The 24,490-nt window shown below is 44.5% G+C and overlaps 1 protein-coding gene and 1 pseudogene across 31 annotated transcripts in view, besides 5 other annotated features; one reads left to right on the top strand and one right to left on the bottom strand.

Annotated features, from left to right (window-relative positions):
* The window catches only part of ATE1 (arginyltransferase 1), a 188,040-nt gene extending 187,052 nt beyond the window's left edge, over window positions 1-988 (bottom strand). For 20 of the 30 annotated variants that reach the window (NM_001288735.2, NM_001439379.1, NM_001439375.1 and 17 more), the window contains exon 1: window positions 369-556. Coding sequence is in view for 22 of the 30 variants with exons in the window: in NM_001439379.1 (NP_001426308.1) it covers window positions 369-474 (106 nt within the window). In the remaining 8 variants the exon portion in view is untranslated. Of the gene's footprint in view, window positions 1-27; window positions 257-368; window positions 557-871 lie in introns of those variants that run through there. The other 10 variants (NR_110006.2, NM_001439381.1, NM_001439374.1 and 7 more) reach the window with 2 other exon arrangements.
* Window positions 228-647: a silencer, noted in NCBI's record as "silent region_2886". NCBI's record gives its function as "represses an Ori minimal core promoter by ATAC-STARR-seq in GM12878 lymphoblastoid cells {active_cell/tissue: GM12878}" and the evidence as "EXISTENCE:reporter gene assay evidence [ECO:0000049][PMID:35858748]".
* Window positions 228-1,322: a biological region, named in NCBI's record as "NANOG-H3K27ac-H3K4me1 hESC enhancer GRCh37_chr10:123687446-123688312".
* Window positions 456-1,322: an enhancer, noted in NCBI's record as "NANOG-H3K27ac-H3K4me1 hESC enhancer chr10:123687446-123688312 (GRCh37/hg19 assembly coordinates)". NCBI's record gives its function as "activates a minimal SCP1, AML or CMV promoter by ChIP-STARR-seq in naive H9 embryonic stem cells {active_cell/tissue: H9 hESC(naive)}" and the evidence as "EXISTENCE:reporter gene assay evidence [ECO:0000049][PMID:30033119]".
* Window positions 837-24,490, top strand: ATE1OSP (ATE1 opposite strand, pseudogene; annotated as a pseudogene). Its single transcript, NR_120495.1, has 2 exons — window positions 837-1,159; window positions 23,863-24,490. The product of NR_120495.1 is annotated as an ATE1 opposite strand, pseudogene (transcript).
* Window positions 838-1,137: a silencer, noted in NCBI's record as "silent region_2887". NCBI's record gives its function as "represses an Ori minimal core promoter by ATAC-STARR-seq in GM12878 lymphoblastoid cells {active_cell/tissue: GM12878}" and the evidence as "EXISTENCE:reporter gene assay evidence [ECO:0000049][PMID:35858748]".
* Window positions 2,959-3,253: a silencer, noted in NCBI's record as "tiled region #2750; K562 Repressive non-DNase unmatched - State 18:Pol2". NCBI's record gives its function as "represses a minimal TATA promoter and a strong SV40 promoter by Sharpr-MPRA in K562 cells {active_cell/tissue: K562}" and the evidence as "EXISTENCE:reporter gene assay evidence [ECO:0000049][PMID:27701403]".

The following is a 24,490-nucleotide window of genomic DNA, read 5'->3' on the forward strand; positions in this document are numbered from 1 at the left end:
CCGGGACGCTCCCACCGCAGCACCCACCGGTCAGCCCCGGCCATTAACTACGGCTCTGGGGCGTTCCCTGGCACTGCGCGCCGTCCTTCACCTCACACAATCTACCCCAGACGGGCGTCCGTCTCCCGACTCTGGGGAGACCACCACGATTTCGAGAGTACGGGCACCGGTTAGGATTTTCCTGCAGAACAGGCACCGCGAAGCTGCCCCGCTAAGCCGGCGCCGCGGCCCTCCCGAGAGTGCCCCCTCCGTCTCGGCCGTGGCACTGGGGCCAGGGGCTCCGGCCCCCTCGCGTCCTCGCTGGGGGACCCTGGGATCCCGAGACCCGGGCGCCCGGCTTCCCACGCCCGCCGGCCCGGCTCGCTCACCATTGGAGCGGCTGCCCGACTCGTTCTTGCAGTAGCCGCAGCGGTAGAAGTCCTCGCTAGGGAAATAGTCCACGACGCTGGGCGAACCCCCCGCCCAGAAAGCCATGGCCTCGGCCCCGCGAACGCTCAGCCGCCCGGCCCCGCGTCGCTAGCGCGGCCGCCGCCGCCACCCCACAATGCAGCGCGCCGCCCGGGAGCCTCCCGAGGCTCGCGCGAAGCCACTCGGGCGCCCGCAGGCCCGGCCGGCCCGGCGCCTCTTGGAGCTGACGCCGCCCGCGCCATCTTGACCGAGGGCAGCTTTCCACTATTTCCGTTCCTTCTCCATAAGGGGCCGCCGTCGTCAGTGAGGGTGAGGCGGAGAGACAGAGCGGGAAGGGAAACAGGATGGGGAGAGTCAAGAGGGGAAGGGAAGCGGGAGTCGGGGTGCGAGCCTGCCCTTTCCCCCGCCGAGGGCCTGTGCGGGGCGCGGCGGCCGCGCCAACTCCGGCGTCGGGAACACTCACCGCAGGACGCTTTGCCCTCCTTGGAATCGCAGTAGCCGCAGTGGTAGCCGGCCCTGAGGCCCTTGTATTCCACCACCGACGCCATGGCCGCCGCGAGGGTCCGCTCGGGCCGACCACGCCTCTTGGCGCCCGGGGCCGACCTCGGCGAAGCGCTGGGGCCCGCGGCGGGAGGGGTGGAGAGCGAAGCCTGGCGCGGGGACCCGTGGGCGGGGATGGTGGTCGTGTCCCCAAGCCCTGCGTTTGGGCCGGTGCTTCCCACAGCTGTGCGTTATCAGCCCCATTTCACAGGTAAGGAAACTGAGGACCGGAGGTTGTGATTATCCCAAAGTCATTCCCGGCGGGTCTCGGATTGAAAGTCAGGCCGCCCCTGGCCACCGTGTAAGTGACTTGCTGGAGCTGCTTCCAGACCAGCTGGCACGCACTCCAGTGCCCTGAATACAAGAACACAAGCAGGTATTCCGTGAATGGCGAGGGTTCGCAAATTAAAGAACTCTTAACGGCTTTTAAAGGAAACAACTGTCAGCTAGAGACAGTTGCTGTCTTGTACCACTATAAGTCCGGTGCCTCATACGATTTTTAATGAGATGCTGGAAATACAGGGTTTGTTTGTTTTTTTTAACTCTACAGTCCAAACAAAACAGTTTTACAGGCTGAATCCAGCCCATGGGCCTCCATTTTGCAACCACTATTTTAAGGAAGATTTAAGGAATAAGAGTCTAGGGCAAAATATAAAATTGAGGCTCATGCCTGTAATCCCAGCACTTTGGGAGGCCGAGGCGGGCGTATCATGAGGTCAGGAGATTGAGACCATCCTGGCTAACACGTGAAACCCCGTCTCTACTAAAAATACAAAAAATCAGCCTGGCGTGGTGGTGGGCGCCTGTAGTCCCAGCTAGTCGGGAGGCTGAGGCAGGAGAATGGTGTGAACCCGGGAGGCGGAGCTTGCAGTGAGCCGAGATCACGCCGCTGCACTCCAGCCTGTGTGACAGAGCAAGACTCCATCTCAAAAAAATTTTTTAAAAAATGAGTTCCAGGGGCGGGCGCGGTGGCTCACGCCTGTAATCCCAGCACTTTGGGAGGCCGAGGCGGGTGGATCACGAGGTCAGGAGATAAGAGACCATCCTGGCTAACATGGTGAAACCCCTTCTCTACTAAAAAATACAAAAAATTAGCGGGACGTGGTGGCACGCGCCTGTAGTCCCAGCTACTCGGGAGGCTGAGGCAGGAGAATGGCGTGAACCCGGGAGGCAGAGCTTGCAGTGAGCAGAGATCGCGTCACTGCACTCCAGCCTGGGCGAAAGAGCGAGACTCCATCTCAAAAAAAAAAAAAAAGAGTTCCAACAAGGTAATATGCCTTATCTTTCCCTCTGCGTGCACAGATAATTTAAGCCTGTCTGTCCTCATAGTTTTCCCAGTCAACAATAAAGCTGATGATACAATATTGTTTTAAGTGTGTTTAAAAAAGTGAAATGAAACTCAGAGAAATAGAAATAAATTTTTGAGGTGAGTTTTGACATTCTTGACCCCAAGGGCCTGTGTTAGATATGTACCTAGCTGAAGGAGGTTTCTTGGTGGCCTGGTGACTTGTTGAAGGGGGCCAGCCCCTCCACACCTGTGGGTGTTTCTCGTCAGGTGGGACGAGAGACTGAGAAAAAAAGTAAGACACAGAGACAAAGTGTAGAGAACAGTGGGCCCAGAGGACCAGGGCTCAGCATACGGAGGACCCGCGCCAGCACTGGTCTCTGAGTTCCCTCAGTATTTATTGATCACTATCTCTACCATCTCGGTGAGGGGGATGTGGCAGGACTATAGAGTAATGGTGGGGAGAGGGTCAGCAGGAAAACGTGAGCAAAGATCTCTGTGTCATAAGTTTAAGGAAAGGTGCTATGCCTCAATGTGCACGTAGGCCAGATTTATGTCTGGCTTTACACAAACATTTTAGTGCAGTAAAGAGCAATATTGCCGCCAGCATGTCTCACCTCCAGCCATAAGGCGGTTTTCTCCTATCTCAGTAAATAGAACGTATGATCGAGTTTTACACTGAGACATTCCATTCCCAAGGAAAAGCAGGAGAGAGATGCCTTCCTCTTACCTCAACTGCAAAGAGGCCTTCCTCTTTCACTAATCCTCCTCAGCACAGACCCTTTATGGGCTGGGGGACGGTCAGGTCTTTCCCTTCCCACGAGGCCATATCTCAGGCTATCACATGGGGAGAAACCTTGGACAATACCTGGCTTTCCTGGGCAGAGGTCCCTGTGGCCTTCCACAGTGCATTGTGTCCCTGGATACTCGAGATTAGAGAATATCAATGACTTTTACCAAGCATACTGTCTTCAAACACATTTTTAACAAAGCACATCCTGCACAGCCCTAAATCCATTAAACCTTGAGTCAACACAGCACATGTCTGTGCAGGCACAGGGTTGGGGCTAGGGTTACAGATTAACAGCATCTCAAGGCAGAAGAATTTCTCTTAGTACAGAACAAAATGGAGTTTCTTATGTCTACTTCTTTCTACGAAGACACAGTAACAGTCTGATCTCTCTTTGTTTTCCCCACGCTTGTTAATACTGCCAAGCATCACTTGTGCCTCCCACAATCGGAAGGCACCTAAGGAGTGGCCATGTAATATCCAGCAGCTTCTCAGGCGTTCCTCCAACTTCTTAAACTTGAAAACTGCATGCTATATCTCAGTATTCATGTTCTTAAGTCAAGCTTCATCCATTTTGTTCTTTATGGCAGATTTGACTATTCCCAGTCCTTTCCCAGACCGGCTCTCATTTTGAACAAAAGCAAAGCCCGTGGAATGCATCAGAAAGAGAGCAGAATATGCTCTGGACAGAAGGTGGACCAGGAGGCTTTTTGGTCTTAATATTCCTGTCCCACTTCACTTCTGTCCCTCTAAAGCCTCATCCTTATCCTAAGTCCTACACTAACCTCAGCCAGGGCACTTCAAGACATGCCAGCCTTGAAAAATAATGAGAATGTCCAAAGTCCTAGGCATATGTGGTGTTTTTTGGTTTTTGATTTGTTTGTTTGTTTGTTTGTTTGAGACAGAGTCTAACACTTGCCCAGGCCGGAGTACAGTGGCATGATCTTGGCTCACTGCAACCTCTGCCTCCTGGGTTCAAGCAGTTCTCATGCCTCAGCCTCCCGAGTAGCTGGGATTACAGGAGTGCACCAGCATACCGGGCTAATTTTTTATTTTTAGTAGAGATGGGGTTTCACCATGTTGGCCAGGCTGGTCTCAAAGTCCTGACCTCAGGTGATCCTCCTGTCTCGCCCTCCCAAAGTGCTGGGATTACAGTTATGAGCCACTGCGCCTGGCTTGTCTTTTCTTTTTGAGGCAGTTTCACTCTGTTACCCGGGCTAGAGTGCGGTGCCACAATCAAAGCTTACTGCAGTCTCAACCTCCTGGGCTCAAGTGGCTGAGATTACAAGTGCACACCACCACGCCTGGCTAATTTTTGTATTTTTAGTAGAGACGGGGTTTCACCATGTTGCCCAAGCAGGTCTCAAACTCCTGAGCTTGGGAGCTCAGCCCACTTTGGCCTCCCAAAGCGCTGGGATTACAGGCGTGAGCCACTGTGCACGGCCAGCATATGTGTTAACTCCCTTAATTCTTATAGCAACTTCACAAGTTAGGAAATGTAGATCAGAGAGGCTAAATAACTTACCCAAGGTTAAACAACTAATAACAGACATTTGGAGGGAGAAAAGGTAATAAAGATAAAAGAAATCGAAATGGAAAAGAGATAAACAAATACTAGGTTTGGAGCTGTGTGAGTTCCTAAATGTCTATTTTGCTCAAGGTCAGAGGCAACTTTTTTGTCTTCCATGAAAAAAAAAAAATACATAGCTTCATTTAGTTTCCTCCTTTTTGGGGGAAAATGGAGGACACTATTAGAATGTCGTTCTGCTTATGAGATGCTAGCAATAGACAGTTGTCTTTGCTTTTCATTTTCTTACTTGACAATAACATGGTGACAAAAAAATTTTTCGGTCCCATTAACTTCTTTTTTTTTTTTTTTTTTGAGATGGAGTTTCACTCTCATCACCCAGGGTGGAGTGCAATGGCACAATCTCAGCTCACTGCAACCTCCGTCTCCCAGACTGAAGCAATTCTCTTGTCTCAGCCTCCTGAGTAGATTGGATTACAGGTGTGCGCGCTACCACGCCCAGCTAATTTTTGTATTTTTAGTAGAGACAGGGTTTCACCATGTTGGCCAGGCTGATCTTGAACTCCTGACCTCATGATCCCCCCCACCTCGGCCTCCCAATCCTGCTGGGATTACAGGCATGAGCCACTGTGCCCGGCCCCCATTAACATTTTTAATGTTATCAGATGTAATATTGAGTCTACAAAGCCACAAGTGTGAGGCTCGGCCCTAGGCCCTGGTGATGTGAAGGATCTTTGCATGGTGACAACAGGCTTAGATCATGTTTCTTAAAGGTAATAAAGTAAAACACATTCTCCTTTCCCTCTAAAGGTGTTGTAAGTAGATGGGACCTAAGTTAAGGCAGAGCAAAAAGGGTAAAATAAAGATAATCTGAGGACAGAGAGGAGGGACACTCCAGGAAGCAGGTTTGGGTTGTATGAGCAGAGGCAGGGAGGTGAACAGGAGCAGCAGGGTGCCTCAGGTGCCAGCAGAGTCCAGGAGGTGCTTTCCTCTGCAGGCCACTCACTGTCAGGAGCCCTAGATTGATCTCCTTTCCTCAACTATCTGGATCTGGCCACCAGTGTGGTAGATACTAGCCACATGTGGCTGTTGAGCACCTAAAATGTAGCTAGTGTGACTGGGGAACTAAATTTTTTTGTTTTATTTAAATTAATTTTTTTTTTTGAGACGGAGTTTTGCTCTTGTTGCCCAGGCCGTAGTGCAATAGCGCAATCTCGGCTCACCGCAACCTCCGCCTCCCGGGTTCAAGTGATTCTCCTGCCTCAGCTTCCCAAGTAGCTGGGATTACAGGCATGTGCCACCACACCCAGCTAATTTTGTATATTTAGTAGAGATGGGCTTTCTCCATGTTGGTCGGGCTGGTCTCGAACTCCCGACCTCAGGTGATCTGTCTGCCTCGGCCTCCCAAAGTGCTGGAATTACAGGCATGAGCTACCGCGCCTGACCCTAATTAATTTGAATTTTAAAACTACAACAGTACAGAACACACCAAGCAGGCACAAATGCCAAAAAGTCTACACAGGTGTATCATATATAAGGCACCAGAAATCAAAGACAGAAAATCTTGAAAGAAGCCAGAGGAAAAAAGAGACCTTACATATAGAGGAGCAACAATAAGAATTACATCACACCTCTCTTCAGAAACCATGGAAGCCAGGAGAGAGGAGAGTGAAGTATTTAAAAAATATTGAAAGAACAAAAAACAGCCTAGAATTCTATATCCAGAGAAATTATCCTTCAAAAGTGAAAGGGAATTAAAGACTATCTCAGATAAAAATGGAGGGAGTTTGTTGCCAGTAGACCTGCTTTCCAAGAAATGTTGAAGAAATTCTTCAGAGAGAAAGCAAATAGGCCGGGCATGGTGGCTCACGCCTGTAATCCTAGCACTTTGGGAGGCCGAGGCAGGTGGATTACCTGAGCTTAGGACTTTGAGACCAGCCTGGCCAACATGATGAAACCCCGTCTCTACTAAAAATACAAAAAATTAGCGGGGCATGGTGGTAGCACACACGTGTAATCCCAGCTACTCGGGAGGCTGAGGCATGAGAATCACTTGAACCTGGGAGGCAGAGGTTGCAGTGAACGGAGATCGCACCACTGCACTCCAGCCTGGGCGACAGAGCGAGACTACATCTCAAAAAAAAAAAAGAAGGCAAATAATGTGGCTCAGAAATTCAGATCTGCATAAAGAAAGGAAGAGCATTAGAGAAGGAATAAATGGAGGTAAAAATGTTTTTAACCTTAATTGATCTAACAGCAGTTGGCCACAGATAATAACAACAACTTGTATTTGGGCCAGGCATGGTGGCTCACGCCTGTAATCCCAGCACTTTGGGAGGCCAACGTGGGCGGATCACAAGGTCAAGAGATTGAGACCATCCTGGCCCACATGGCGAAACCCCACCTCTGCTAAAAATACAAAAAAATTAGCTGGGCATGGTGGCACGTGCCTGTAGTCCCAGCTACTCAGGAGGCTGAGGCAGGAGAATCGCTTGAACCTGGGAAGCAGAGGTTCCAATTAGCTGAGATCTCACCATTGCGCTCCAGCCTGGTGACAGAGCGAGACTCCATCTTAAAAAACAGAAAAAACGTGTATTTGGTAATTATAGCTTATGGGTAAGTAGTATGATCATTGAACCTTATGGAAATAAATGACGGCAGTGTTATAAGGGATGGGAGGTAATAAATGGAAATGCTGTTATAAGGTACTTGTGTGCTATTCATAAAGTGGTATAGTATTATTTGAAAGAGAATTTGGATTAGTTATAAACGTATACTGCAGGCTGGGTGCGGTAGCTAACACCTGTAATCCCAGCACTTTGGGAGGCCGAGGCGGGCAGATCACCTGAGGCCAAGAGTTCGAGACCAGCCTGGCCAGCGTGGAAAAACTGCATCTCTACTAAAAATGCAAAAATTAGCTGGGCATGGTGGCAGTCACCTGTAACCCAGCTACTTGGGAGGCTGAGGTAGGAGAATTGCTTGAACCTAGGAGATGGAGGTTGCAGTGAGCCAAGATCACGCCACTGCCCTCCAGCCTGGGTGACAGATCAAGACCCCATCTCAAAAAAAAAAAAAGTGTATACTGCAAACTCAAGGGCAACCATTTAAACTATGGAAATAAAAAGTTAAAATAAATGAAAATAATTTTAAAAATAAATTAAAAAGCAAAAACATTTGATAGACTAAATTAGGAGAAAAAATCAAATCATATTAAATGCTTAACTTAAAACCCGAAGAGGCAGGCCAGCCATAGTGGCTCACATCTGTAATCCTAGCACTTTAGGAAGCCGAGGCGGGCGGATCACCTGAGGTCAGGAGTTCAAGACCAGCCTGGCCAACATGGTGAAACCCCATCTCTACTAAAAATGCAAAAATCAGCCGGGCATGATAGCGTACGTCTGTAATCCCAGCTATTTGGGAGACTGAGGCACGAGAAATCATTTGAACCCAGGAGGCAGAGGTTGCAGTGAGCCAAGATCATGCCACTGCACTCCAGCCTGGGCAACGGAGCAAGACTCTTGTCTCAAAAAAAAAAAAAAAAGAAAAGAAAAGAAAAAAAAGAAGGCTGAAAAAGAGTGGAACAGAAAAAAAGAAAAGAAAAAAACCAAGAACAAGAGCAGAAAAAAAAAATAGTAACATGGGCCAGGCACGGTGGCTCAAGCCTGTAATATCAACACTTCGGGAGACTAAGGCATGCCAGGTCTGTCCCTCAGACCCTGGCTGACCAACGGATGAAATGAGTACTCAGACACAGGCATGAAGTGTCAGAGCAGCTAGTGCACTGCCCGGCTCAAGTGGCCAGAGTGCAGCCCCGAGAAGCTGGAGCTGCTTGCTTTTATTCAGTGCAAGTACAGTGCCAAAAGCCTGGAGCAAACACAATCTGTGGATAATTAACATTTATTGTTCCCCTTTCAGGGAACCTTGTGCAGATGTTCAAAGGTCAGTTTCTGGACAACTTCAAACACACGAGCCTGATCAAGATAACTTCCCCTTCACTCCCTTGCACATACTCCTCGCCCTCTGCCTCAGGGTTAGAGAACAGCTGCCTTCAGCTTTCTCCCCCGAAGCTATGCAGAGCCTTCTGACCTTAAAGAAGGCCTGCTCCTTTCCCTATAGTTTCTCCCACCACTCTGACTGATCTGCAAAGGCGGGTGGATCACTTGAGGCCAGGAGTTCAAGACTAGCCTGGCTAACGTGAAACCTCGTCTCTACTAAAAATACAAAAATTAGCCGGGCATGGTGGCACACACCTGTAATCCCAGCTACTCGGGAGGCTGAGGCAGGAGCATCGCTTGAACTTAGGAGGCAGAGGTTGCAGTAAGCTGAGATTGTGCCACTGCAGTCCAGCCTGGGCAACAGAATGAGACTATGTCTCAAAAAAAAAAAAAGTAACATGGCAAATATTAATCCAGCTATATCAATAATCACTTTAAATGTCAGTGATCTCAGACACCAGTTAAAAAACAGACTGTCAGCATGAATAAGCAAAACAAGACCCAACTATATGTTGTCTACAAGAAAACCACCTTAAATTTAAAGACACATTTAGATTAAAAGCAGAAGGATGGACCAATCATGGTGGCTTATGCCTATAATCTCAGCACTTTGGGAGGCCAAGGAGGGGATTGCTTGAGGCCAGGGGTTCAAGACCCTGGCGATATAGCAAGACCCTGTCTCTACAAAAAAAAAAAAAATGTTTTTAGCTGGGCCTGGTGGTGTGTGCCTGTAGTCTCAGCTACTTGGGAGGCTGAGGTGGGAGGACCACTTGAGCACAGGAGGTTTAGCTTGCTGTGAGCCATGATCACGCCTCTGACCTCCAGCATGGGCAACAGAGACCCTGTTTCAAAATTAAATAAGTAAATAAATGAGGAAGGTTATACCATGCTAACACTAATTAAAAGAAACCTAGAGTAGCTATATTAATTTCAGAAAAAAACAGACTTCACAGTAAAGAAAATTAGGAATAAAGAAGGGCATTACATAATGATAAAGAGATCCATTCTCTAAGAAGGCATAACAATCCTTTATGTGGGTACACCATCCAATAGAGTGGTAAACTACATCAGGCAAAAACTGATAAAACTACAAGGAGAAATAGATGAATCCACTATTATACTAAGAGACTTCAACACCCCTCTGTCAGTAATTGATGCATCTACCAGGAAGAAAATCAGTAAAAATATAGTTGAATCAAATAACATCATCAGTCAACTAGATCTAATTGACATCTATAGAATTCTTCACCTAAGAGTTTCTTCTCAAGCTCACAACATTCACCAAAGTAGACCACATTCTGGACCATAAAAAAATCAGCTTAACACATTTTAAAGACTAGAAAACCTGCAGTGTCTGCTTTCAGACCACAATGGCATTGAACTAGAAATTAATAACAGATATTAGCCACACACAGTGATGTGTGCCTATAATTCCATCTACTCAGAAGAGTGAGGCAGAGAATCACTTGTGCCCAGCCTGGGCAACTTAGCAAGACCCTGTCTCAAAAAAAAAAAATGACAGCTGGAAAATTCCAACATACTTGGAGATTAAACAACACACTTATAAATAACGCTTTGGTGAAAGAATAAGTCTCAAGAGAAATTTAGAAATACATTGAACTAGGCTGGGCGTGGTGGCTCACGCCTGTAATCCCCATATTTTGGGAGGCTGAGGCAGGCAGATGACCTAAGGTCAGGAGTTCGAGACCAGCCTGGCCAACGTGATGAAACCCTGTCTACTAAAGATACAAAAATTAGCCAGGCATGATGGCAGGCGCCTGTAATCCCAGCTACTTGGGAGGCTGAGGCGGGAGAATCGCTTGAACCCGGAAGGCGGAGGTTGCAGTGAACGGAGATCATGCCATTGCACTCCAGCCTGGGAGACAAGAGCGAGACTTCATCACACACACACAAAAAAAAAAAGAAAAAGAAAAAAAGAAATATATTGAACTAAATGAAAATGAAACCACAACTTAAAATTTGTGAGATTTAGCAAAACCAGTGCTTAGAGGGAAATGTATAGCAGTAAATGCATTCTTTAAAAAGGAGATCTAAAATCAATATTCTACCTTCGAAGGCTAAAAAAAGGCCAAATCCCAAATAAGCAGAAAAAAATAATGATAATTGGAGTAGAAATCAAAGAAATTAAATAGGGGAAATGGGTACAGAAAATCAGTGAACCCAAAAGTTGGTTCTGTGAAATAAAATTGATAAACCTCTAGTAAGGTTAAGGAAAAAAAAGAAGACTAATTACTGGTATCAGAAGTGAAAGAGGGACCATCACTACTGATCCATGGACCTTTATTGTCCATTATCCATGAGTAATAAAGGGGGATATAATTAAAACTCTGTGCCCACAAATATGACCACCTAGAGAAAATTGATGGATTCCTTAAAAGGTAGAATCTGCCAAAACTCACCAAAGAAGAAAAAGATCTGAATAGGTCTGTATCTATTAAAGACGTTTAATGAATGACTAATGACTGAAAACAGAAGCGCCAAGCACAGATGGGTTCGCTAGTAGATTCTACTTAACATTTGTGGAAGAAATTATACCAGTTATGTATAGTCTCTTCCAGAAAATAGACGCAAAGGGGATACTTTCTGACTCATTCTGTGAGGCCAACGTTATTCTAATACCAAAATCAAATCTGACAATGTATAGGAAGAATTATACACCATCACCAAGTAGGATTTACTCCAGGTATGCAAGACTGGTTCGATATTAGAAAAGCAATTACTGTAGCCCATCACCTCAAATCAGAAAGAAAGTCATATGATCATATCAGTAGATATGGAAACAGCGTTTGACAAAATTCAATACCCATTCATGATAAATACTCAGCAAACTAAAATACAGGAGACCTTCCTCAATTTAAGAACATCTACTAAAGTCTTACAGCTAACATCATACTTAATGGTGAGAAACTAGGTGGTTTCTCCTAAAAAATGATCTTATATCTCCTGATCTTAATCAGGAACAAGGCAAGGATGTCCTCTCTTACCATTTCTATTCAATGTCTTAGCAGAAGTCCTAGTGAATGTACTAAGACTATAAAAGGAAACAAAGGTATATAGATTAGGAAGGAATTAAACTGTCTTTGTTTGCAGATGATATGATTGTCTATGTGGAAAATCCCAAAGAAACAGCAACAACAAAAAAAAGCCTCCTGGAACTAATGACCAATTACAGGAAGGTAGCAGGATACAGCCTTGTTAATATCCAAAATAAATTGCTTTCCTATATATCAGAAATGAACAGGCTAGCTGGGCACAGTGGCTCACATCTGTAATCCAAGCACTTTGGGAGGCCGAGGCAGGTAGATCACCTGAGGCCAGCAGTTCGAGACCAGCCTGTCTAACATGGTGAAACCCCATCTCTACTAAAAATACAAAAATTAGCCCAGCGTGATGGCACATGCCTGTAATCCCAGCTACTCAGGAGGCTTAGTCAGGAGAATCACTTGAACCCAGGAGGTGGAGGTTGCAGTGAGCTGAGATCAAGCCACTGCACTCCAGCTTGGGTGACAGAGTGAGATTCTGTCTCAAAAAAAAAAAAAAAGAAAAAAAAGAAAAAAAAGAAATGAACAGGCCAGGCACAGTGGCTCATGCCTGTAATCCCAGCACTTTGGGAGGCCAAGGCAGGCAGGTCACTTGAGGTTAGGAGTTCAAGACCAGCCTGGCCAACATGGCAAAACCCCATCTGTACTAAAAATACAAAAATTAGCCAGGCGTGGTGACATGTGCCTGTAATCCCCAGCTACTTGGGAGGTTGAGGCACAAGAATCACTTGAACTCAGGAGGTGGAGGTTGCAGTGAGCCAAGGTCATCCCACTGCAGACTGCATTCCAGCCTGGACGACAGAGCAAGATCCTGTCTCCAAAAAAAAAAGAGGAATGAACATTTACAGTTTGAAATTTAAAATAATACCATTTACATTAGCAACGAAAAAAGAAATAAGTATAAATCTGACAAAATATGTTTAATGTCTGATATGGTTCGGTTGTGTCCCCTCCCAAATCTCATCTTGAATTGTAGTTCCCATAATCCCCACGTGTCATGGGAGGGACCAGGTGGAGATAATTGAATCATGGGGGGCGATTTCCCCCATCCTGTTCTTGTGATAGTGAGTTAGTTTTCACGAGATCTGATGGTTTTATAAGAAGTTTCCCCCTTCGCTGGACACTCACTCTGTCTCCTGCTGCCCTGTGAAGAGATTCCTTCTGCCATGATTGTAAGTTTCCTGAGGCCTCCCCAGCCATGTGGAACTGTGAGTCAATTAAACCTCTTTACTTTATAAACTGCCCAGTCTCGGGTATGTCTTTATCAGCAGTGTGAGAAAGGACCAATACAATATCTATGTGAGGAGAACTACAAACCTCGAAATAAAGAATGAAATAAATGAAGAGAGAATCTATGTTCGTTGAAGGAAGATGAATGTTGTTAAGACATCAGTTTTTTACAACTTGATCTTCAGATTCTGAGTAGTCCCAGTCAGAATCCTAGGAAGTCATTTTCTGAATATCAACAAACATTCAAAAGTTTATATGGACAGCCAAAAGACCCATAATAACCAAAACAACACTGAAGAACAACAAAGTTGGAGGACTGACGCTACTGGACTTCAAGACTTGCTATAAAGCTAGTCATCAAGATAGTGTAGTATTGGTGAAAGAACAGATAGATAAATGGAACAGAGAGCCCAGAAATAGACTCATACAAATACAGCCAACTGATCTTTTGCAAAGGAGCAAAGGCAAGTCAATGGAAAAGTGATAGTCTTTTCCACAAATGGCACAGAACTGGACATCCATATGCAAAAAAAAAAATACATCTAGACACAGTCCTTATATCCAATGTAAAAAATTAACTCAAAATGAATTATAAACCTAAATGTAAAATGCAAAATTGTAAAACTCCAAGGTAATAACATAGGAGAAAGTCTAGGTGACCTTGGGTTTAGTGATGACTTTTTAGATATAACACTAGAAGCATGATCCATGAAAGAAAAAAAATTAAGTAATACTTCATTAAAATTTAAAACTTTCTGCTCTGTGAAAGATACTGTTGGCCGGGCATGGTGGCTCATGCCTGTAATCCCAGGACTTTGGGAGTCCGAGGCAGGCGGATCATCTGAGGTCAGGAGTTTGAGACCAGCCTGGCCAACATGATGAAACCCCACCTCTCCTAGGAGTAGAAAAATTAGCCGGGCATGGTGGCGCACACCTATAATCCTAGCTACTTGGGAGGCTGAGGCAGGAGAATCGCTAGAACCTGGGAGGCAGAGGTTGCAGTGAGCCGAGATCACGCCATTGCACTCCAGCCTGGGTGACAGAGCAAGACTCCATCTAAAAAAAAAAAAAAAGATACTGTTAAGACAATGAAAAGACAAGCCACAGACTGGGAGAAAAAAACTGCAAAACACGTATTTGATAAAGGACAGGTATCTAAAACACACAAGGAACTCTTAAAACTTAACAATAAAAAAGCAAACAGCCAAATTAGAAACGGGCAAAAGATTTTAACAGACAATTAAAGATAAACAGATGGCAGATAAAACATATGAAGAGATGCTCAGCATTACATGTTATTAGAGAACTTCAAATTAAATCAAATCAACAATGAGATGCCTTTACACAACTATTAGAATGGCTAAAGTTTGACAACACCAAATGCTAGCAAGGATGTGGAGCAACAGGAACTCTCATATGTCACCGATGGTGAGGCAACATGCACTGCAACCACTTTGGAAGACAGTTTGGCAGTTTCTTACAAAACTAAACATACTCTTACCATACAATCCAGTGATCGTGCTCCTTGTTATATACCCAAAGCAGTTGAAAACTGACGTCCACACAAAAACCTGCACACAAATGTTTATTGCAGCTTTATTCATAATTGCCAAAACTTGGAAGTAACCAAAATGTCTTTCAGGAGGTGAAAGGATAAACAAACTGGCACATCCATATAATGGAATGTTACTCACTAATAAAAAGAAATGAGCTGGATTGCCATTCTCAAGTCATGAAAAGACATAAAGGAACCCTAAAAGCATAATGCTAAGGGAAAGAAGCCAATCTGAAAAGCCTATATAGTATATGATTCTAACTATATGACTTCTGGCAAAAGCAAAACTCTGGAGACAGTAAAATGATCAGAGGTTGCCAGGGGTTCAGGGTATTGAGGGATGGAAAGATGAATAGGTACAGACATGAGATTTTTAGGGCAGTGCTACTATTCTGTATGAAACAGTAATAATGGACACGTGTCATATACTCGTCAAAACTCATATAAGGTACAAGATAAGGAGTGAATCTTAATGTAAACTATGGACTTCAGTTAATAATAATGTATCAATATTGATTCCTCAGTTATCACAAATGTACCACACTAATACAAGATGTTTATAATAGGAGGAACTTGTGGAGAGAAGGTATGTAGGAATTCTCTGTACTTTTCAGTCAATATTTTTGTAAACCTAAAGTTGCTCTAAAAAAAGAAAGTTGATTAAAGAACAGCAGTGTAAAATCTTTGTATGTTGATTACATGTTGGTTGACAATATTTTGGATATACTATGTTAAAGCGTATCACTAAAACTAAATCACCTATTTATTTTTATTTTTTTAAACTCCTAGAAAATTTTCTATTACATCTGTGACTCACATTCTAATTTTGTTGAACAGTGCTGGTCTAGAACCAGGTTCTTGCACCTCTAGTGTACCAGCCCAATTCTCTGTCTCTGCTTCTAGGCCCTATGGTTTCAGGATCTTTTATCAAGCATCTCTTCTTTTTAATCACTTTGCTGTTAACAGCATTTCAGAGTCTTTATTTGTTTTGGAAAGTCATCAAGATTCCTCTGCATCATGTCCTGGCTTCAGTGTCCCTTCCCCATACTGTACTCTATATTCTGGCTTCCAGCATCCCCCTGTGTATGTGGTACTCTGGCTTGTGTAACTTCCTCTTGTTAACAACCAGTTTGATTGAGTCATCTCCTGGCTGGTCTCAGGAGTATTCCCACATTTCTGCTCAGATTGTGCTCTCAATCTACTTCAAGAAGCACTTCCTTTTCCAAGAAGGCCTCTGTCTTCAGTTCCACCTCACATTAAAGACTCCAGCCCTTTGTTATCTCTCAATATGTAAGCAATGCATTTTTACCCCTTTATTACACTTGTGATATATTTGCATATAGTTCTTTCCCGCCTACTTGGATTGTAAGTTCACCAAAAGTAGACTGTTGCCACTCCTTTGATATTCCAAGGTTGTGTGGGATGGCATATGCATGAGATCACAGGCTTTGTTTTTAGACATTGGTGTTTAAGTTGCAGTCTCCCACTTAGCATCTTTGTGGCCTTAAACATGTCACTTAACTCTCTTAAAGTTTCCTCATACGTAAAATGGGGATGATATTCCTATCACCTCATAGGATTGTTGGAGGGGTCCGTGTTTGGTGTTTAGATGCCATTGGATGCACTCAGACTTCTGCAAAATGGAGACAGCAGGCAAGGCGCTGTTTCCAATGCCAAAAGTTGCTCTTGCATTTTACTGTGAAGTTCATATCAAGTTCACTTTATGTGAGAAGGGGTTAACAACCCTTTCCATTCAATCACCACCATCTTCTCCATGAGCTAGGACTTCCCATAACTCTTTAAACACATTTCATGATTTTTTATGAAGGATTAAAATTTAGGTGTGTGAAGATCAGAGTCATTTTCTTCACAACTCAGGCAGTCTTTCACTTACAGAGCAAAGCCCAGTCTTGCTCATAGTTTGTTTCAACCTGATTTACTATCAGAAAAGTTCTCTGTTTATTTTACTGGCTTAAAAATATTCTTTCTCTGGTCTAGTTTCTCTTGTCAGAAAAGAGAAACAATTTACAACATAGTACTTAAATAAAAAGTAATTTTAGGTCCGTGTGATTTTCTTTATATAAGTGTTATTTTAATTTAAGCTGATTACTTAAAGGGAGGCTTACACTCAGGACTGCATATTTTTCTTTATCAAAAAAGAGGCTTCTCTTTTTTCACATGAGGGTAAATAAGAGGCTGCCTTTTAGCACTTCACACAATGCCTGACTCTTAGCCAATGAATGAAAGGGGCTTGTGGTATCCTATGGTCCCGTCAGGTCATAGATGTATAAGAATTTTGGCTGAATTAATATCACATGAGTTTGAAATCTGAGTGACATGGTTTTTATCAATTTTAAAATGGTGTTATGTTTGGTTTGGAGATCAAGTTAATATAAAATGTAGAATGAAACGTAATTTAATGCTTTTGAACCATTACATGACCTGATGTTTGAAATTCTTTTCTAAAGCATAAAATACATGTATTGTTTGTTTGTTTGTTAATTGAGATGGAGTCTCACTTTGTTGCCCAGGCTGCAGTGCAGTGGTGTGATCTCAGCTCACTGCGACTTCTGCCACCCAGGTTCAAGCGATTCTCGTGCCTCAGCTTCCTGAGTAGCTGGGACTACAGGCACGTGCCACCACGTCTAGCTAATTTTTTGTTTTGTTTTGAGACAGAGTCTCGCTCCATCGCCCAGGCTGGAGTGCAGTGGTGTCATCTCCACTCACTGCAAGCTCCGCCTCCTGGGTTCACGCCATTCTCCTGCCTCAGCCTCCTGAGTAGCTGGGACTACCCACTACCACACTCCGCTAATATTTTGTATTTTTAGTAGAGATGGCGTTTCACCATGTTAGCCAGGATGGTCTCAATCTCCTGACCTCGTGATCCGCCTGCCTCGGCCTCCCAAAGTGCTGGGATTACAGGTGTGAGCCACCGCGCCCGGCCATGTATTTACTTTTATAGCTATTTATGAATATTATTTTGGGGGGCTATAGTTTTTTTTGGTTTTGTTTTTTTGGGTTTTGGGGTTTTTTTTTTTTTTTTTTTTTTTAGACAGGGTCTCACTCTGTTGCCCAGGCTGGAGTGAGTGGCGCCATCTTGGCTCACCAACAGGAGGCTACTCAGCCTTCTGACTAGCTGAGATTACAGGCATGCGTCACCATGCCCCGCTAATTTTGTATTTTAAGTAGAGACAAGGTTTCTCCATGTTGGTGAGGCTGGTCTCAAACTCCTCGACCTCAGGTGATCCGCCAGCCTCGGCCGCCCAAAGTGCTGGGATTATAGGCGTGAACCACCGAGCCCGGCCTAAATTTTTTTTTGTAGAGATAGAAGTCTCACTCTGTTGCTCAGGATGGACTTGAATCCCTGGGCTCAAGTGACCCTCCCGCTTGGCCTCCCACAGTGCTGGGATTATAGGCATAAATCATCACATCTGGCTGGGCTACAGTCTCAATTACTTCTCTGCACATGGCACATTTCGGGAGGGACAGATTTAATTCCTAAGAATCCAGGTAATTAATTACTGTATTTTTTCCTTTTCACATTTTTTTTTTAAGATGGAGTCTCGCTCTGTTGCCCAGGCTGGAGTGCAGTGGCGCAGTCTTGGCTCATTGCAACCTCTGCCTCCCAGGTTCAAGCAATTCTTGCACCTCAGCCTCCCAAGTAGCTGGGATTACAGGCGCACACCACCACGCCTGTCTACCTTTTTGTATTTTTAGTAGAGTTGAGGGTCTCACCATGTTGGCCAGACTGGTCTCGAACTCCTGACCTCAGATGATCTGCCCACCTCGGCCTCCCAAAGTGCTAGGATTACAGGCATGAGCCACCACGCCTGGCCCACATTTGTTTTAAAGAACTAGAGATGTCTCAATGGGCTACACGATGACTTTGGATGAATGCGGCTTGCATACATGGTAGAGAGTATCTTGAAGTGAATAGACAGAATCATTTTCATTCATTTGTACTTCAATACTGGTATTTTTTTTGCTTCCTATTTTTTTGGAGACAGAGTGTCATGCTGTCGCCCAGGCTGGAGTGCAGTGGCGCAGTCTTGGCTCATGGCAGCCTCCGGCTCCCAGGTCCAAGAGGTTCTCTTGCCTCAGCCTCCCGAGTAGCTGGAACTACAGGTGCGCATCACCATGCTCAGCTAATTTTTGTATTTTTTAGTAGAGATGGGGTTTCACCATATTGGCCGGGCTGTTCTCGAACTCCTGACCTCATGGTCTGCCCACCTCGGCCTCCCAAAGTGCTGGGATTACAGGTGTGAGCCACTGCGCCTGGCCATATATTTACTTTTTGTAACTATTTATGAATATGATTTTGGGTGTTTGTTTTTGTTTTTGTTTTTGTTTTGAGACAGAGTCTCACTCTGTTGCCCAGGCTGGAGTGTAGTGGCACAATCACGGCTCACTGCAGCCTTGACCTCCCAGGCTTAAGCAATCCTTCCACTTCAGCCTCCCAAGTAGCTGGGACCCCAGGCATGCCACCAAGCCTGGCCAATTTTAAATTTTTCTTTTTTCTTGAGATGGAATTTTGCTCTTGTTGCCCAGGCTGGAGTGCAATGGCACAATCTTGGCTCACTGCAACCTCTGCCTCCTGGGTTCAAGCAATTCTCCTGCCTCAGCCTCCTGACTAGCTGGGATTATAGGCATGCACCACCATGCCCGGCTAATTTTGTATTTTTAGTAGAGACAGGGTTTCACCATGTTGGTCAGGCTGGTCTCGAACTCCCGACCTCAGGTGATCCGCCAGCCTCAGCCTCCCAAAGTGCTGGGATTACAGTCATGAGCCATTGAGCCTGGCCTAAATTTTTTTTTGTAGAGATAGAAGTCTCACTATGTTGCTCAAGATGGTCTTGAACCTGTGGGCTCAAGTGACCCTCCCACTTGGCCTCTCAAAGTGCTGGAATTATAGGCATAAACCACCACATCTGGCTGGGCTACAGTCTGAATCACTTCTCTGCACATGGCACATTTTGGGAGGGACAGATTTAATTCCTAAGTAAGAATCCAGGTAATTAATTACTGTATTTTCTCCTTTTCACATTTGTTTTAAAGAACTAGAGATGTCTCATTGGGCTACATGATGACTTTGGATGAATGCAGCTTGCATACATGGTAGAGAGTATCTTGAAGTGAATATACAGAATCATTTTCATTCATTTGTATTTCAACATTTCAACACTGGTACCTTTTTTGCTTCCTGCTTCCTCCTTTTTTTTTTTTTTTTTTTTTTTTGAGACAGAATGTCACTCTGTCACCCCAGCTGGAGTACAGTGGCGTGATCTTGGCTCACTTCAGCCTCTGCCTCCCGGGTTCAAGTGATTCTCCTGCCTCAGCCTCCCGAGTTGCTGGGACTACATGCACGCACCACCATGCCTGGCTAATTTTTGTATTTTTTAGTAGAGACAGGGTTTCACCATATTGCCCAAGCTGGTCTCGAACTCCTGACCTTGTGATCCACCCGCCTCAGCCTCCCAAAGTGCTGGCATTACAGGCGTGAGCCACTGTGCCCGGCCTGCTTCCTATCTTTAAAGACCAGTTATCAACATAAATAATATGTGACTAAAAATATATTAAAGTGTGTTAAAGCTAAAACCTCCCCAGCATTAGTATTTAGCTGAGTGACACCCCAGCTAAGTGATGATGAGGCCACATGACTAAGCCAATTGCCCACTCACCCAGCCTCCTCCAACTACTGTGAATATGCATACAGCATCCTCTCCAAGGGTTTACACTGATTCCATTTCCATGGAGAATACTCAACATATATGCCAAAGAAAAGCAAATCAGATGCTTTCATTGCCTTTTACATTGTTTTCTCTGCACTGAGATGGGATGCCTGTGCCTGTTGAAACACAGCCCCTTTTAGCTTCTCTCTCTGACCATTCAGCCCAGCTTACACTGAGTGAAGCCCATTCCCTGCCAACCATACTATGTCTTCACATACTGCCTCACAGTAGTCTCAGTCTAGGATAGCGATGACACACAGAAAAGCTTGTGACTGCTTCTGGTTGCCTTAGAAATCAGCCCAAGGCATCCTGAAGGATCAATAGTAGGTAGCTGAAAGTCTGAAAGAGGGTCAGAAACTTTAATGTCTGGAAAACAGTGCTTTGCAGAATAGAGAATGAGTGATTAGAACATGGGAGAGCAGACACTGAGAGTTGGAGAGAGAGGAGCAAAGATGTATATAAAGCTGGCAATTGATAGGGCAATGGTGGAAGCAAAAGGCGTCATAACAGCATGAGGCAGTGACTCAAGGTGCTATGAGGAGGAAGTGGAACGGGACTAGCGAAGGATCAACAAACAGGATCTGAGTCTTTGGTGACAGACTCCGAATGATTGAGGCTGAGTGCAGAGGAACAGTAGGTATTATTTTCCTGCTATTTTGGGCAAGAGAATATTCAGCTATCTGAGAATAAGTATAGCCCAAGGATGAAAATGATGAGCTCTGGAGTCATGTAGGCACATATCTTGACTCTGAAACTACTCCTGGGGCCTTTGACAAGTCATGAAACCTCTCATAGCCTCAGTCCCTTTGCTAAGATTAGGGGATAATAAAGACCTATCTCATAAGACTGTTTGGAAGGCTAAGTAAAATAATCCATTTAAGTTCATAGTGTAATGCCTAGTGTATACTAAACTCAATAAATGTTGCTATGGAAACAATATAAGAACCTCTTAGAAAAGAAAAATATAAAACAGTATTATGAGTCTGTCTTTTTAAGAAATTAGCTTTATTAATACTTACTAGACAAATAGTCTTTTGTTTTTTCCAGTTCTGTCTTACAAAATCTTTCCCTTATTTTGCTAAGAGAAACCAAAGAAAACAAAATATTTATAACGCAGGTTGTTAAACATAGAACCTATTTACTAACTAATCAGATTAAGAAGAGGTCTCCAGGATGCTTAAACATGACTGTTCTCTATCCTAAGTAACATATTTCTCAGCTATATTTTTCTGCATTAAATTTTAAAAAACTTTTGTCATACAGTTTTATTACCAGTTTAAAATGTAAACCTTTGTCAAGAATCATGAAAGATGTTAGATAGCTGTTGTTGGAAATTAATGACAGCTTATAAATTATATTGCTTGCTAATAACTTTGCACATAACTGCACTTAAAATGTACATACCAACTTTTGCTTGTTTTCTTGTACTTACCGACTTTGAAAACTTTTCTCATCAAAGCTAAGTTCTTTGTCCTAGCAATAATATACAAAAACAGTGGTTTGTGATATTTGAAATAGCAATATGGTCTTCTCTGTCCAGTGTTAATATAAAGGTACTTCTGACAGTTTCAGCCCCAAACAAAATGCGGCTCTCTTTGTTTATTCAAATTTTATCAGAGTGCATTCCTTCCTTCCTTCGGGCAAAGACAGAAGTTAAACATACCATAGAGTCCTGCCTGTTGGCAGAGAGAAATGCCTTCTGCTATACATGGAAATTGTGTCCCAAATCAACTCCCTAATATAATTCACACTAGAGCATGTTTCCTGAAACCTTTCTCCAAATCCTAGTATAATTTCTCTTTTTGATCTTCTAGATTGGCCTGGGCTAAAAATACTCAAGACCCTCAGATTGCAGTAGGGTCCTATTCCCCATTAGAAAAGAAGATTCAGGTGAGGAAATACATTTACCATGGAGTTTGGAGCCAGTAATAATCATAATCATAAAAAGCTTATCCCTGAGGTAGAAGGGGCCCAAGTGTTTCGAGGGAAAGTGCTCTCTGCCTGTTTAGTTCAGCATTTGGTTCAGTGAGCACCAATGGTGCTGGCCGGACAGCACTGAACAGAGAATAACCACCCCTGCCCCCACAAAGGGGTGCTTAGTCTAGTGAGGAGCATTGATATTAGACAAACAGCATAAATTACTGTAAGTGTCATGGAAGGATGAGGTTTTCTCTGAGAGAGTTTGTGGAAGATCTGAGGGAGTGACGTTTAAGCTGAAATTGAAGAGTGGTCTACATAAGGACCATAGTAGTCCCAGCTACTCAGGAGGCTGAGGCAGGGGAATCGCTTGAACCCAGGAGGCGGAGGTTGCAGTAAGCCGAGATTGTGCCACTGCACTCCAGCCTGGTGACAGAGCAAGACTCTGTCTCAAAAAAAGAAAAAAACCAGTGACGACCTAGACAAGAGCAGTCAGTGAAGTAGTGGGGGGAAAAGGGGGTGGGGGATGAAAACCCAGCAAAAGTGGATTGAGGAGAAAAGGTGAGGTGAGAAAATGGAGAAGGAACACAGGTAACTACTCAAATTATATTGTGAAGAGGAGTAAAAAAGGCGGGTAAAAACCGGAGCAGGGTGTACAATAGAGGAAGAGCTTTCCTCTTTTGTTAAAGATGACATATACTGAAGCCTATTTGTATGTGGATGGGAGTGACCCAGCAGCAGGGAGATTTTGGGGAAAGGGAATCTGATAATTGCAAAATTGAGTCTTGAAGCTCAACAAGCACAGGTGGAAGGCTTGGCTTTGGAAAGGCACAGGGGCAGCGTTTCCTCTGTAAAGGCAGGAAGGCAGAGTTGGGACAGAGGCAAGGTGGTGGTTCTGGCAGCGAGGAGGGAGGAGCTCCGGAGGGACTGCTTCTGATTCCTCAGGGAAGGCTACGGCAAAGTCCTCAGGTAGGAGGGAACACTGCAGGAGGAGAGTGTAGGAGGTATGTGGGGCTGGGCACGGTGGCTCACAACTGCAATCCCAGCACTTTGGGAGGCCGAGGCGGGCAGATCACTTGGGGTCAGGAGTTCGAGAACATCCTGGCCAACATAGTGGAACTTTGTCTCTACTAAAAATTACAAAAATTAGCCGGGCATGGTGGCACACATCTGTAGTCCCAGCTACTCAGGAGGCTGAGGCAGGAGAATTGCTTGAACCCAGGAGGCGGAGGTTGCAGTGAGCTGAGATCATACCACTGCACTCCAGCCTGGGTGACAGTGCAAGACTCCATCTAAGAAAACAAAAAAGTGTCCCTAACTGGGACATGGTGTAGGAGTTTTAGATCTGTACCATGGAAATAGAATAAAGGACATCCAACTTAAAATGTTCTAATACTTCCCTTTCATAAGGGTTTAGGTGGTGTCCATCCTTTTTTTTGAGATGGAGTCTTGCTCTGTCGCCCAGGCTGGAGTGCAGTGGTGCGATCTCGGCTCATTGCAACCTCCACCTCCCAGGTTCAAGCGATTCTCCTGCCTCAGCTTCCCAACCAGCTGGGACAACAGGCGTATACCACCACGCCCAGCTAATTTTTGTATTTTTAGTAGAGATGGGGTTTCACCATATTGGCCAGGCTGGTCTCAAACTCCTGACCTCAGGATCCACCCACCTCGGCCTCCCAAAGTGCTGGGATTACAGGCATGAGCCACCACGCCCAGCCTAGGTGGTGTCCATTCTTCAGAAGTGAGGAAACTGTTTAGTCCACAAGTTTCAGCAGGAGAATGAAACACTTCATAAACTTAAGGCCGTGTCTTCTGATTTCCAGTTTGCTAAAGCAGAGGCGTACTACTATCAATAGCATCAAGAAATGATGATGGAAGAAGCATGGAAATACAATATGGTTCCAAAATGGGAAACTAAAATAGAGGAAGAGGAAAAGAGATCACAACGTGAGAAAACAGAAGATACTAAAAAATGGGACTATCTAGTGCCTGAGAGGGAACTGAGTCTTACAAAGAAACATATACCAGGCTGAACAAACCAGAGGCCTCAGAGACCACAAACACCGACTGCTCCCTCAAAGAATTCCCAGTGAAATACTTTCCCCTAAAATACTAACACGGGAAAAGGATGGAAAGCATGAAAATATCCAGAAAACACACAAAACTGAAACCAGTAAGCACAAGGTGGCATGGACAAAGGAACAGATGAAGGGACACCAAGACCGAATGATCTGAGGGAGAGAACTCAAAGCAAAGACACGCTCAGAAGCGCTCCAGCCCCGTTCCATCTTTCCTAAAATCTCAAGTGGAAAAAGAGAAGGTGAAAGAGTTTGAATGGGTCACAGCTTATCCAATTTTGCAACCTTACCAGAAAGCACTTAGGAAAGTGATGATTCTGATGGAGAAATAAGAAAAAAGAGAGTATAAAATTAAGAAACCACTCTGAAGGGA

This window comes from Homo sapiens, chromosome 10 (assembly GCF_000001405.40).
Source record: "Homo sapiens chromosome 10, GRCh38.p14 Primary Assembly".
Classification (NCBI taxonomy): Eukaryota; Metazoa; Chordata; class Mammalia; order Primates; family Hominidae; genus Homo; species Homo sapiens.